The following is a 14885-nucleotide window of genomic DNA, read 5'->3' as shown; positions in this document are numbered from 1 at the left end:
GATGCCAAGATATTTTAAAGAAAAGTTCAGATAGGAAGCATATTTAAGATGTCAGTATATGTCTCTAAAATCTAAGAACATTTTTCTACAGAGTCCAGATGATACCATCTCACCCACAAAATTAACATAAATTTTTAGTACCATTGGATACCATGTCCATATTCAGATTCTCCCTGAGTTCCAGAAAGGTCCTTCACAGGTTATGCATTTCACATCCTATCCGGCACCAGGGCCAGCATCTTACATCCTTAATTCTTAGGATTCAGAATAGCACTTTTTATATCCTGACACTGACTTGCTGAAGAAGCTGTACCAGTTTTCCTATAAACTGTCCACTCCTTGGATTTGTCTTATATCATGTCCCAGGGGTATTGTTTAGATTGTTGCTCTATTGCTAGGATATTCATGTTACCCTAAGTGTGTACTGAGATAGCAGAGTAAAGAGAGATTGTCTTTTAAAGGTTCTGCCCAGGAACTGCTGGTTTACACAAAAGCTGGGCTTTAGTGCTTCTCGGATCTCTTTGCTTGTTTCAGTAATTTTTTTTTAGAAATTCACTAATTCACTAACGTAAGTGGGGCAGGGTTTACAGGAGCATGTGTTGAGAGAAGTTGGTTTGACTTTAAATGGTCATTTTTACAATCCGTATTTAGGCCTTACAGGTCGCATACAATCTCTGTCACATATTGCTGTCATTTTTACCCCCTTTCTTTTCTTTTTATAATCCTTTAAAAAATGCAAAGCCCACCCTTAGCTCACAGGATGTACAAGAACAAGTTGCGGGTTGCAGTTTGCCAAGACCTGCTCTGTGCCACTGCTGACTTGCCATTCTTGGAGCCCACTTTCTGTTCTTGTCAGCCAATTCCCTTTCAGGTGCTCAGGTTTCCCTCCCTCCTGTCACCGGGCCTTTGCACATGCTCTACCCACCCTGCCTAGTGGAGAGCTATCTTTGGCCCCTGGACTTCATTCACTTCGGACCTTCTTTGGGTCACATTTCAGTCATGCCTCACTAGACACCTGGAATCTCTGCCTCACTAGACACACTAGCACTCACTCTTTTGGGTCTTCTGGCTGTATGTAATTGTTATCAGGGCAGTAATTTTGCATTTATACAGGTGCTGAGGTCAGTGTCTGGCCTTTGGCTACTTGCCTTGTGAGCCACCTTTGCTTTCCAGTGTACCCCTAGCTCCTGGCCCAGTGTCCAGCTTCCCAGCATCCATTCATGTTTTCCCTGGAGACCATTCTGTGCCCAGCAGCCAGAGACATCATTGCAACTTAAATCTCATTGAGTCGTTCCAGTTGCTGTAAGAAATGTAACCGTACTGGGTAACACTATGCCTGTCTGTCTCCACCACCAGATCTTATACTTCCTCCCTCATCTGCTACTCCCTAAGCTCACTGGCCCTTTGTTGTTTTTGCTGAACGTGCTAATCTCTTCCTCACACCTGGGCCTTTGCACTTGCTCTTACCCCTGCCTCAGCCATCCATGCACTCTCTTGGTTTTGCCGTGCCCGACTTCAGCATTTTTAGTTCACATGGCTCTTCCGTGGGGCCCTTCCCTGACCACCCTGTTTGAAATGCTACCCATCCCTGGCACACATCTATCATAGTCATTCATTAGCAATTAGCCCCATCTCCTTTCCCTATAGTACTTTTCCATAATTTTTTTTCTTGCTCATATTACACCTCCCCAACTAATAGATAGATTCCAAGAAATTGAGTGCTTTATCTTCACTACCTGGAATAGTACTGGCACTTGGTAAAGCACAGCGAATATTGTTGATTGAATTACTAGGGGTTGGCTTAGAGAGGTACTTAATGGAATGATTCAATGGATGAATGAATGAATGCATTGCCACTTTTTTGCTCATTATCATCAATTTGTACATATGCCTTTCAACTCAAATATTTATCCATTGGCTAAAGAAAAAAAATACCTGAATCCCCGTGTCTCTGCAGTTTACCCTTCCTCACTGTTAAAACTCAGTGCCTGTGTAAAATTTCATTATATTTTATTTACTTCTTATTCCACTTGTGCATTATGTGGATATTCCTGCCTCATCCCCACAGCCACCTATCACTTCCGGCCAACTCAGATGCCTCTGGCTCGCAACAATCACTTCTCTGTTGAATTTCTGAAGCGTTTAATCTGCAGTATGTCTGTTACTCATACAGCAGTTAGTGTGAATTGTCTCACTCAGAATAAGTATTCATTAAATGTGTAAGAATGATGATATAGCCTAATTTCAGATCAAGATTGTGATTTATAGCTCATTCTTAATCAGCTGTGTCATGACTTTATTTATTTATTCCTTTTTTTTTTTTTTTTGAGACAGAGTCTCACTCTGTCACCCAGGCTGGAGTGCAATGCAGCTTCTGCCTCCTGAGTTCAAGTGATTCTCATGCCTCAGCCTCCCAAGTAGCTGGGATTACAGGCGTGCACCCCCACGTCCAGCTAATTTTTTGTATTTTTAGTAGAGACGGAATTTCACTATGTTGGCCAGGCTGGTCTCGAACTCCTGGCCCCAAGTGATCTGCCTGCCTCGGCCCCGCAACGTGCTGGGATTACAGGCATGAGCCACCTCCTCAGGCCTGAGTCATGAATTTTTGGTAGTCCAGTCATGTGGTTATCTTCCTAAAGCTGGAGGCCTTAAACCTAGGGCCCCAGGTGGGCTTATGCCTTTAGCTGCAAGTAACAAGAAACCCTTTTCAACCTTTTTACTGATTTATTTAGAGAGAAGTACACATAAGAGGTAATGCAAGTAAGCAAAGTTTTTTAAGACCACACAACTAGATAGCCAGCATCCGGACCAGAACACAGAGACTTGCTGGCCCCTAGAATCCTCTCTCCTGGCCCCTGCCAGTTACTGGCCTTTCCCCTGAGTTCTATTTGCCTGCAGTTTGCTTGTTTTCATATTTAATTCAAATAGAATTAGGTGATGTGTCCCCTTGTGTTTCGCTTCTAACAGTGCCTTTATGCGGGAGAAGTACTGGCTATTTCTTACTTTGCCCTCCCTCCCCGGAAACATTTTCCTAATTTAGTAGCAGTAATTTCAAAAACTGCTTTCCTTTCGGACAAACTGACTTATCCAGCCATTGTACCTTCCAGTTTAGACTCTGGCAGTTTGGAGAGTTGAGACAGAGAGAAGGAGAACCGTCTGTTTATCTTCTTGAAAAAAACTACTGTATTTTCTCTCTCTTCTGACTCTGGGAGCCTCTAGACTCTTTTTTCCCATTTTCATATCCACAGAGGAAGAGTCTGAACCTCTTCCTGCTGAGCTTTCCCCTGGTTGGTTGCATTTCAGGAACTGACATTGGTTGTCTTCCCTCTTCCCTCATCAGTGCAAGTAGGTTGGATCTCATGATAGTCCATATTCACATAACCATGAGAATCAGAGCTTTCTCTCTGTCATTTCCTCCCTGTTTATCTGTAGCAAGAAGAAAAAAGTCCGTCTTAACAGAGACTGTGAAAGAATAAATATAGACTTTATTGTTTTAGAGCAGTTTTAGGTTCACAGCAAAATTAGGCAGAAGGTACTGAGATTCTCCCATATACTCCCTGTTCATACACTTGCACAGCCTCTCCCATTATCAGCGTCCCCCTTAGAGCGATTTGTTACAATCAGTGAACCTACACTGACACCATTATTATCACCCAAAGTCCATAGTTTACATTAGCATTCTCTCAGCATTGTTTATTCTGTGAGTTTGGAAAACTGTCTAATGACATGTACCCACCATTGTAGTGTCATACTGAGTACTTTTACTATCCCCCAAATCCTCTGTGTTCCTCCTGTTCGACCCTCTCTTGCCTTTAACCTTTCCAAGCCACTGATCTGTTACTGTCTATAATTTTGCCATTTCTAGAATGTCATATGGCTTTCTTAGAAAATACAAATGGTGACTTTTTTGGCATGACTTTAATAAACAGAAATGAAAATTGGTGTGTGAATCAAAATCTTTCACTCTGTAAAGGGACTTATCAGGCGGCACCTGCATGTGGAATTATATCAAGGTCAGCTTTAGTTAGAAACAGAAGGAGAGTCACCTTTGTGATGTCATTTCTCCTTCATCCAAGTAAAATCTCGCATGCTGACACATAAAATTTTATCATCAGTGATTTATTTCCTCGTAGGAATGTCCCTTTGACCTTATTAAATTCAGATACTCTGGGGATGGTCAGCATTTTCAGATGGTTCCCTTGTTCTGTAAAAATGTTTGTTATTGGTGTTTAAAAGCTGTAAAAGCCACCCACTATAAATTGATAGCCACTAAAGTCTGCGAATGTGGTATGAATGTTCCACTATGTTGCCAAGCGTTTATTTTATTGTGAGTTGTTATTTGATTGTTTGTAAGGAAATTGTTTTATGATGCTCAGCTTTATATTTCCATAAACTGTTCCTCCCTTGCAACTCCTTAAACTGTGATGAGCTTTTCAAAACAAGTCCACAGGACAACAGTCTGTCCAGCATTTGAAGAAGTGGTGGAAAAGTCATTTTTTTCCTTTCAGTGTTTCTAGCTGTTCATGAAAACTGCAGTTAAAAGTTGTAATGTTGTTGTGTTTGGCATTCTTTGGGAAGATGCAGCATTATTCAAACAAAACCGTGTGCTCTTGTTTTAAATAGTGTCCAAATGAATAATTGAATTCATGGACATCTAAATTTAATTCCAGAAATCAAAGCTATGGTAATAAGAACTTGGACCTGAGTTCTCTTAGGCCAAGTAATTTAATTCCTTAGCCGGTTGAACTATTTATTACGTGTCTCCGTTCCTGGTTATTATGCCAGTAAATTGCTCAGGCAGATGCAGGGATGGATGATGGGCATATAATTCACTCTTTTTCACGGCTAGACACATACCAGAATGCAGATCACACTAAACAGCTGTTTTTACAAACATGGTTTCTATTCAGAGCTTTAAGGGCCACATCCAAGTAATAACAAAGAAGCCTGGAGAAGGAACCTGGGGATACCCAGGGTCATGTTTTCACCATCCCACCTGGAAACACGGTGCTGTCCAAACCCTGGATGGTACACTTGGACATCGTCATTCCAGTCATGGTTCAAGATCACGTGTATACATCATGATTTAAAGAGAATACTGGTTTGATTTTTCTTCCTGACTTTCCCTGAATTTTCCACTTAAATTGGAAAACAGCGCTAGTTAGTGCCCATGATTTGATTGAATAAGTAAGAGATCTCAAACACGGTAAATTAACTGATGACATGCATCAGGTCATCTTTCTTTGATTCACCAGTAATACAACAGTGAGATCCTACAGAAAAATGCAAAGGCAGAAGCTCAGGGCAGCTGAGCAACTGTTAAGGATTCTTTTGAAATGTAGCCCCACGTAGTAAACTTTCGTGCAATAATTTGGGCAGTCAAAAAAAAAAGTCAGTTATTTCACCTCATTTATTTCTACGAGGAGATAAAGGCTTCCAACATCTGATTTTCAGTGCCAGTGTTTTCTGTTTCTCTTTTCACCTATTTCGTCCTAGTCTTGTGGAAATGTTACAATAACTGATTAGGATTTTCTCTGTATTAACACTTCATTTATTAACATATGAGTAAGTTGCTATTAATAAATTATTCTGCTTAATCAGTTTCTTTTTATTCTTTAGCCACATGCTAAACTTCTTCGGATGTCTTCACTTAATATCCTTACATCATATTTAATCAGAGTTAGAAAGGCGTTCCACTTGGGGGTCATACACATTTTTTTGAAACTTTTATAAACGCCCTTTATACTATTCTTGTATCCTACGTAATCAGAGTCAGGTGTTCCATGGGGATCATACACATCTTTATACAACTTGTGTAACACATGCTTTAAATCCTGAGGTAATCAGAGAATTCCTGCCATTGATGGATTAATCTCTTTACATATCTTTCCCTTTCACTCTCAGCAAAACTACTTATGGCGGTCCTGTTAGACTTTGAAAGCCTTTCAGGTTTATGGAGGAGTCTTCCTTTCTATTGTCGTAGATCATGGAATCATAGTGTTCGCTTGTCTCACGTGTTTGGAATCTGATTTCCTACATAATGCTGTGCTCTCACTACGAGTCCAAGGCTTCCTGTGGCTACAAATCCCGGGTTCCTATCACTTTTCCCAATGATGAGCTTCTCCTTGTTGGCCAGAATCAGCTCTGTGGTAATAATTCCCTTCTGCTTTCTCCCTCTCGCTTTTTTTTTTCCTTCTGGGTACATTATAATGTCAGCATAGCAGCTTTTAATTCTATTACTATGGTACTTCTCGAATAGACCTGTGGTAGTTGCCCCAGAAAGGTTGAAACCCCCTGCCACATCTAGGTCTTTCTCCTGTATTGGTTTTGTGATCTGATCAAGGACATCTATTCCTCTAGTCCTGCTAGGTGGTATACGATAGGCTTTTACTATTAGATATTCAAATGCTGTCAACCATGCCTGCCTTGACAGGTACATGATTTCCACAAGGATTTCCTAATAGGCCTTTTTAATTTTGTTCTAGACATGCCCTTCTTTTGCCATCCAAATTTGCTTATTTTTTACAAACTATGATGCATCAGCATGTAAATGTTTAATACCATAAATATTTCTGATCCTCTTCCCAATTTCACTGAGTTACTGGTTATCTCTTGCCATTATTCTCAGCATATTGCAGTGGATCTCAGAATATTTTCCCCTGACCACCAGCATCAGTATTACCTGGGAATTTGAAATGCACATTCTCAGGCCCCACCAAGGCCTCATGATTCAGAAACTCTGGAGCTGCATTAGAAACTGCCACAGGCACCTGGTGATCTGTGTTGGTTTTTGTTTGTTTTTAAGGAGACAGTGTCTTTGTCTCCCTGGCTGGAATGCAGTGATGCAGTCATAGCTCACAGCAGCCTCGAACTCCTGGGCTCAAGCAATCCTCCCGCCCCAGCCTTCTGAGTAGCTGGAACTACAGGTGCACACCACCATGCCTGGCTGGTTTTTGTTTGTTTTTAAGGAGGCAGTGTCTTTGTCTCCCTAGCTGGAATGCAGTGATGCAGTCATAGCTCACAGCAGCCTCGAACTCCTGGGCTCAAGCAATCCTCCCGCCCCAGCCTTCTGAGTAGCTGGAACTACAGGTGCACACCACCATGCCTGGCTTTTTTTTTTTTTTTTTTTTAATTTTTTTGGAGACAGGGTCTCACCGTGTGGCCCAGGCTGGTCTCAAACTCCTGGCCTCTAGGTTTTTTCCCACCTCAGCCTTCCACAGTGCTGGGATTACAGGCATGAGCCACCACATTTAGCAGGTAGGTGATCTGTGTTTCAATAAGCCTTCCAGGTGATTCTGATGCTCACTGAAATTTGAGAACCACTGAAATATTTGGTTTTCTACAAAACATAAGCAGTTAGTAACCATAGGGTACGCAACTAAATAGTTCCAGCAGGCATCCCTGACCACAGGGCATTGCAGATTTACTTAAGTCAGTTTCATCTTCCACCTGTGTGAGTTCCAGCAGGCATCCCTGACCACAGGGCATTGCAGGTTTACTTAAGTCAGTTTCATCTTCCACCTGTGTGAGTTCCAGCAGGCATCCCTGACCACAGGGCATTGCAGGTTTACTTAAGTCAGTTTCATCTTCCACCTGTGTGAGTTCCAGCAGGCATCCCTGACCACAGGGCATTGCAGGTTTACTTAAGTCAGCTTCATCTTCCACCTGTGTGTCCAGTTTAAGCTCTCAGTTGCAGTTTTTAAACCAATTTCCACCAGCATATACTGAGTATCCGCTACCGTGCAATGCGTTGCGGCTCTTGTATGTGCACTATGAGAAGTAATTCCCATAATACGGCAAACTCAGTTTTGATATCCACCACCCCACTTTTTATAATGGACTACATTTTTCAGAGCAGTTTTAGGTTTACAAAGAATTCAAGCAGAAACTACAAAAAGTTCCCTCTACCTCTCACTTCCCCACTCCCCAACAGTTTCCCCTGGATTAACATTTTGCCTTAGTATGGTACGTTTGAACCAATATCGATACACTATTATTAACCAGTATTCCTGTTTTAACATGAGAGGCGACTTTTTGTGTAGTATAGTCTCTTGGTTTTGACAAATGCTTAATGCTGTGTATCTATTATTACTTATGACAGTATCGTGCAGAGTAGTTTCTAAAAATCCTCTCTACTCCACCTATTCATCCCTTCCCCACTCCCCCTGAACCACTGGCAACCGCTGATCTTTTTATTGTCTCCGTAATTTTCCCTTTTCCAGAATGTCCTGTGGTTAGACTCATGGCATCCCCTTTTAGCAACTGCAGAAACTAAGAACTGTCCCCAAGGATAAAAATTTTTGCAGACCCACTGAGCTGGGATTTATACTTAGACCTGCTGAATTGAAGTTTTGGGTGTGTTTCTTCTCAAATTGCCAAAATTCCATATGGACGACTTTTCTTTTCCTTCCCTGAAATGTGTTTAATTGACTTTTTCTGTTATTTGTGTTTGCCTTCACAGTGAAGACAAAGTAGTAGAAGTAGCAGAGGAGGAAGAAGTGGCTGAGGTGGAAGAAGAAGAAGCCGATGATGACGAGGACGATGAGGATGGTGATGAGGTAGAGGAAGAGGCTGAGGAACCCTACGAAGAAGCCACAGAGAGAACCACCAGCATTGCCACCACCACCACCACCACCACAGAGTCTGTGGAAGAGGTGGTTCGAGGTAATCCACCATTTGCTTGGATTCCCCCCACCCCCAAGGAAAAGAAAGCGTAATACCAGAGTTGGAAATATCCACCCTAGCACCACTGCCTTCCCCAATCAAAAACATGTTTTTTTTTCCAAAAGGCTTCTTATGCTTGTGAAATTTTTTTGGTTTAACAAGCAAACAATTTCAAATAATGTGAAATCTTTATTATACAGTTTGTTTTGTACCTTGTATATGCTGCTTGGCAAATCCCAAGTTAATTCTACAAGACTCCGCCCAACCAGGTAGTCATCTAATTTGACAAACACTGAGTTAGGTGACTCCTTGGTATTCCTTTGGCAGTGAGTGTTTGTTATATAATATTGTCTGTTACCACCTAGACGATGAGCTCCTTGAGGGTAAGGACTTGATTTTATTCAGTATTGCACAGAGTGCCTGGCTTGTAGTTTCGATAAATCTTAGTTGAGTGAGTAGTTGTGATTAGATTTCATTAAAGAAGGAGATTTGGGCCAGGCACAGTGCCTCACACCTGTAATCCCAGCACTTTGGGAGGCCGAGGCAGGCGGATCACCTGAGGCCAGGAGTTCAAGACCAGTCTGGCCAACATGGTGAAAACCCATCTCTACTAAAAATACAAAAATGAGCCAGGCGTGGTGGCACGCACCTGTAATCCCAGCTATTTGGGAGGCTGAGACAGGAGAATTGCTTGAACCCAGGAGGCGGAGGTTGCAGTGAGCTGAGATCACACCATTGCACTCCAGCCTGGGTGACAGAGCAAGATTGTCTCAAAAAAAAAAAAAAAAAAAAAGATTTGGTGAGTATCGCATTATTTTATGCTATGAATTTTAACAGAGGTGATTTATGTTGAGTTTACATTGTTTTATTGGGAAGTACGGCAGTGCTTTCTTCAAGAAGTAAATATAGTATTAATGTCTTAGACTTTCTCTATTGAATTAATGTTTGTGTTGCAAATATTGTGAACTAAAAGAACTAAAGGTCATACTTGTCTCCATGAAATAAAAACAAACATTCAGTTGATATTAAATGACCAAATGTTACAGAAACGAGTAAACTGTTGGATTGAGTTCCTTAAAGAGTATGCATTTGTTCCTTAAAGAGTTCTGCATTTCATATCTGCCATCTGCTTGGCAGATAGTAAAAGATGCTTCTAGAGCTAGATTGAATGAATATGTACTTACTGAATTTTAATGTACTGCAAATACTTATAAAGGTCAACCACAAATGTTACAGCATTTACAAAAAGTGGCTTTCTCTCACTTTTTGCTAAAGTTTAATGATTTCAGATTTATTGTTCTATTAGAGCTTAACATGGGCTATTTTGTCTCCCTCAACTATATTCATAGTTGTCACTATAGTATTTTCTTCCCTTTGTTGCATTTTTTACCTTATTAAGGTGTAATTTACATATAAGTTTCATTTGCTTTTAAGTATATAATTCAGCGGCTTTAAGAAATTTGCCAAGCTGTGCAACTATCACCATAATCTAATCTTAGAACATTTTCGTCACTCCAGTAAGATCACACATACTCACTCCCAGTTAAGCCCTCTACTCACCTCTAGCCCCAAGCAACAACTAATCTACTTTCTGTCTCTATAGATTTGCCCTTTTTTGGACTGTTATTATAAGTGGGATCATATAATACATGGTCTTTTGTGTCCGACTTCTTTCACTTAACACAGTATTTTTGAGGTTCTACATTTCTTTAACTTGAGCTTTTAAAATTGAGATTATTCTGAATTAAACACTCAGCGTTAGCTTAAAATTTATTGAAAGTTTTACATGTTCTTTGAAAAAAAAGAACAGAGTGCAAGATGGATTAAGTTTATCATTCCCTACTTAATGACAGTTTCTTACTCACTTTAGCACATAAGTAAATGTGCTAGTAAATGCGCATTTTGTTTAAACCACCATTTTTCAAATACTGAGACATGCTTTCTCAGGGTGTTTTTCATACAACTGTTAGGACCAACTATGGCAGATCTGGTCAAATGAACTTGTTAGCCTGATGCCTGTAGCAGGGAAGGACAGCTTTTCAGGGCTTCTCTTCTCGAAACCTAAATGAAGTGTGAATACAAATTACAGCAGCTAGCAGCCTGCAGTGGGACTGAAAGTCCTTGGTGAATCTCCATCAAGCTGGGCTGTTTAATAGAACCAGTTTAGTGTCCCATTTTACTTGAAACATTAGATTTTGAGCACCTGCTTGGTACAAGCCATTTTGCTAGGCCATGTGGAATGGATGATGAGCACACACAGACCAGCTAACCCTAGTGGATGTTAAAATCTCTTAGGAAATAGAAGTCAAAGAAGTACAAAGCCATCTGTGTTGTAAGAAATGTGAACACAGAACCTGCCTCCGAGAGTAAGAGGGAACTTCTGGATTGATCAGAGAAGGTTCCATGGAGAGCATGACATTTGAACTAGAGCCAAAAGTGTGGGTGGGTGGTGTGTCTACCAGTGGATTTTGCTGTAGAGTCATCAGGACTAGCAAAACAAATGTGGTGCCATGGAAAGGCATATTTAGGAGACAGGATTGGTCCAATTTAAGCTAGAGCAGATGTCTTTTAGGTTGGGACCAAAATATAGAGACCTTCAATGCCAGGCTGGCAAAGATGGGCATTAACTGCAGGTGATTAATTAACAAATATTAATTCAGAAGCTACTGTGCGCTGCAGATTTTTCCAGGAGACAATAAAGAGATTTTGTTTTGATGCTAGTACTGTTGAGGTAACAGGTGAACAAGGAGTGACATCAGTTATGCAGTACAATGAGAGGATGCCACATAAACTTAGGCCCATATTCTAGAACAAGACAATTTGCTTGAGATAAATTGGTCTCATTATCGTCTGCATTAGTCCAGTTCTTTTTGCTTGAGTTTTGCAGGTAGTATTATTTGATATTAAGACGGAACACAGAGATGTTGTATTGTTTTATTTCCTGTAGAAAGACGAAGGCAGTTAAAAGAATTTCATAAACAAAACACTCCAGGCTAAAGGCAAAAAAGAAATGAACCTTAAAAAATAACAAGTTAATAATTTTGTTGGCAAGAAGAGCAACAAAAGCAACCTTCTGAAAGCAAGATACCTGGTCATTGAGAGATAGCAACTGTTAATGCCCCAGAAATAGAGGAATCTTTAATGCAGGTCCATTCATTCCACCTCAAACTCCTGAACAAAAGCTCTAATTGAGGCAAGTCTTCCTGGGAAAGGGGGCCTAACAGAAACATGTTATGGTCAGTTGTGCCCATGCGAGATAATTTTTTTGTGCTTGTAGCTAATTCCAGTAAAGAAGTAGATGTTTTAGAGGGTAACGTTAAAGGGGTCAGCTGCAAAGAGTCCTTTTCCTCCTCCTCACTGTTACAAAAGGTGACTTGTGGTTCTTCCCTAATTGAGAGCAATGGCAACGCCATAGGTGATTACTCATTTTGTAAAACTCTAATTACAAGTAGGTTGCTTCTGTGTTCAACATAAAAATTAGAAGTGACTTGCAAAGATGAGATACTGCAGGGAGGCTTACAATCTTGTTTTCAGTGTTAGTGTTTCAGTACCTGGAACAAAATGTGATTTACAGCCATCCTTTCTAAGAAAATTGTCATCATTACCAACATATTGCTACTGATACCAGTCCTTAATGTGCTTCATAAAAAACTCAATAATTTCATAACCCGTTAAAACCGGAAAGAAATGGAGGGAAGAAAAATAAGACACTTTTAGCGTAGTCATAATCTTCTCTGCCATATTGTGTTAGAATCGATGATACCCAAATGAGAAGATGTCTGTTCTCTGTCACTGATTCCAGTAGAATAAAATTATTGTTTAAAAGTAAGCACATCCGCTGCACTCCAGCCTGGGCAACAGAGTGGGACCCTGTCTCAAAAAAATAAAAATAAAAGTGAGCACACGATTGCAAGATCTATCTGGTTTTGGGGGCTTATTGTCATCTTTGGTTGTTAAAAAAATACTTGGATATTATTGGTTATTGGTCTAGTGGAATAAGCCATTACCGATTTGAGTACAACAGTGGTGTATTTAGATACTTGCTCCTAATTTTCTGTTCTTCAAGAAGGGATTGTACTTCAGAAACCAGAGATATCAGGGTAGTTTTGATTGAGCCATAAATTCTAAATTCTGATTGAAATGGGTATTGTAATAAATGGCATAATCTTTTATTTAATCTAGCCAATTGTGCCCTGTCCAGAGGAACTGGACATTTCTTCCTTATGTTCCATTTATTCAGCAACTATTCGTTGTACCCCTGCTGATGGCTAGGCTCTTTGCTACTGTGGAAGGCATCGTTGGGGCAGAGCAGACAGCATTTTACCTCCTGGGAGACTGGCAGATTTTTGAAGCCTTTGTTGCAGATATAGATTTTCACGGTCACCACTCTTGCCCTTTAATGTAATTTAAATTTTTTTTTTTTTTTTTTTGACACGGGATTTTGCTATGTTTCCTAGGCTGGATTCAAACTCCTGAGTTCAAACCTCAGCCTCCCAAGTAGCCGGGAAAACAGGCCTCTTGTGCTTTAAAGCAGTGATTCTCTGTCTTTAAACCTTGTAACTATGCTGTGTGGTGGAAATTTTACTTCCCCGTTTAAAGCCAAGATCTCTAAGGCCAAGAATTTTTTTTTTTTTTTTTTTTGAGATACAGTCTCGCTCTGTCACCCAGGCTGGAGTGTAGTGGTGCGATCTTGGCTCACTGCAAGCTCGGCCTCCCGGGTTCACACCATTCTCCCGCTTCAGCCTCCCGAGTAGCTGGGACTACAGGTGCCTGCCACGATGCCCGGCTAATTTTTTTGTATTTTTAGTAGAGTCAGGGTTTCACCATGTTAGCCAGGATGGTCTCGATTTCCTGACCTCATGATCTGCCCACCTTGGCGGCACCCCCCGCCCCCCGCCCCCCGCCCCCCACAAAGTGCTGGGAATACAGGCCACCATGCGTGGCCGAAAAAAATTTTTTTAATTGGCCTGGGCTGGGCGCAATGGCTCATGCCTATAATCCCAGCACCTTGGGAGGCCGAGGCAGGCGGATAACGAGGTCAGGAGATTAAGGCCATCCTGGCTAACACGGTGAAACCCCATCTGTACTAAAGATACAAAAATTAGCCAGGTGTGGTGGCATGCGCCTGTAATCCTAGCTACACAGGAGGCTGAGGCAGGAGAATCGCTTGAACCTAGGAGGCGGAGGTTGCAGTGAGCTGAGATTGTGCCACTGCACTCCAGCCTGGGCAACAGAGCGAAACTTCGTCTCAAAAAAAGAATAAAATAAATTGTCCTGGGTCACATAACTGGTTAAGTGATGAAATCAGAATTTGGACCTAGATAGGCCAGGATATTTCTGCTACACTCATGTCAAAATTACACTTTTTATTTTCTTTATAAATACACACAAATTCATTTCAACCTGTGTTCCCTTGTAAATGCATATACCTTTGATATAGGCATATATTCATCTATTATTTTACACTGTGCATTTCTGAATTTTTAGAATTTTTACTTGAAGTGATCAGGCTGGCGCTGTGGCTCACGCCTGTAATCCCAGCACTTTGGGAGGCTGAGGTGAGCAGATCACCTGAGGTCAGGAGTTAGAGACCAGCCTGGCCAACATGGTGAAACCCCGTCTTCACTAAAAATACAAAAAAATTAGCTAGGCATGGTGGCGCGTGCCCATAATCCCAGCTACTCAGGTGGCCAAGGCAGGGGAATTGCTTGGACCTGGGATGCGGAGGTTGCAGTGAGCTGAGATTGCGCCACTGCACTCCAGCCTGGCGACAAGAGCGAGACTCCGTCTCAAAAAAAAAAAATAGAAAAATGATCGGGGGTCCACAAATAAGAGTAATGATCAAGGGTCAGCAAATTGGGGCCAAAAATAGCCTGTTTTCCTGTTTTCTACACAAAAGTTTTATTAGGCACAGCCCATCCCATTTGTTTAAAAATTGTCTATGGATGTTTTCATGTTTTGGAAGTAGAGTTGAGGATCGCAAAAGAGATTGTGTTGCCTGCAAAACTGAAAACATTTACTATCTGGCCTTTTCAGTAAACCATTTGCTAACCCCTGATTCTCACTATAAGACGGTGACTGTGAAGTTCTTTCTATTTCACATACTGCCATATCAAGTTGATTTCTTTTGAGGTAGGGTTTGTTTTTTTTTGGTTAGAGATAGACTAGTATAGTGTTTGAGAGAATTTTTATGACCTTGGGCCAGTTAAGTAACCTGTTTT

General features: G+C 41.1%; 1 protein-coding gene across 11 annotated transcripts in view, besides 1 other annotated feature; it reads left to right on the top strand.

The window, feature by feature from the left end:
• Positions 1-14885, top strand: part of APP (amyloid beta precursor protein) — a 290579-nt gene that overhangs the window by 140625 nt on the left and 135069 nt on the right. For all 11 annotated transcript variants that reach the window (NM_001136131.3, NM_001136129.3, NM_001136130.3 and 8 more), the window contains one exon: positions 8462-8664. In NM_001136131.3, coding sequence (NP_001129603.1) covers positions 8462-8664 — 203 coding nt within the window. The remainder of the gene's footprint in view (positions 1-8461; positions 8665-14885) is intronic.
• Positions 6652-7151: an enhancer, noted in NCBI's record as "H3K27ac hESC enhancer chr21:27395669-27396168 (GRCh37/hg19 assembly coordinates)". NCBI's record gives its function as "activates a minimal SCP1, AML or CMV promoter by ChIP-STARR-seq in primed H9 embryonic stem cells {active_cell/tissue: H9 hESC(primed)}" and the evidence as "EXISTENCE:reporter gene assay evidence [ECO:0000049][PMID:30033119]".

Source organism: Homo sapiens, chromosome 21 (genome assembly GCF_000001405.40).
Source record: "Homo sapiens chromosome 21, GRCh38.p14 Primary Assembly".
NCBI lineage: Eukaryota > Metazoa > Chordata > Mammalia > Primates > Hominidae > Homo > Homo sapiens.
Note: the sequence above shows the minus strand (reverse complement) of the source record. Positions and strands in the feature narration are given on the sequence as shown.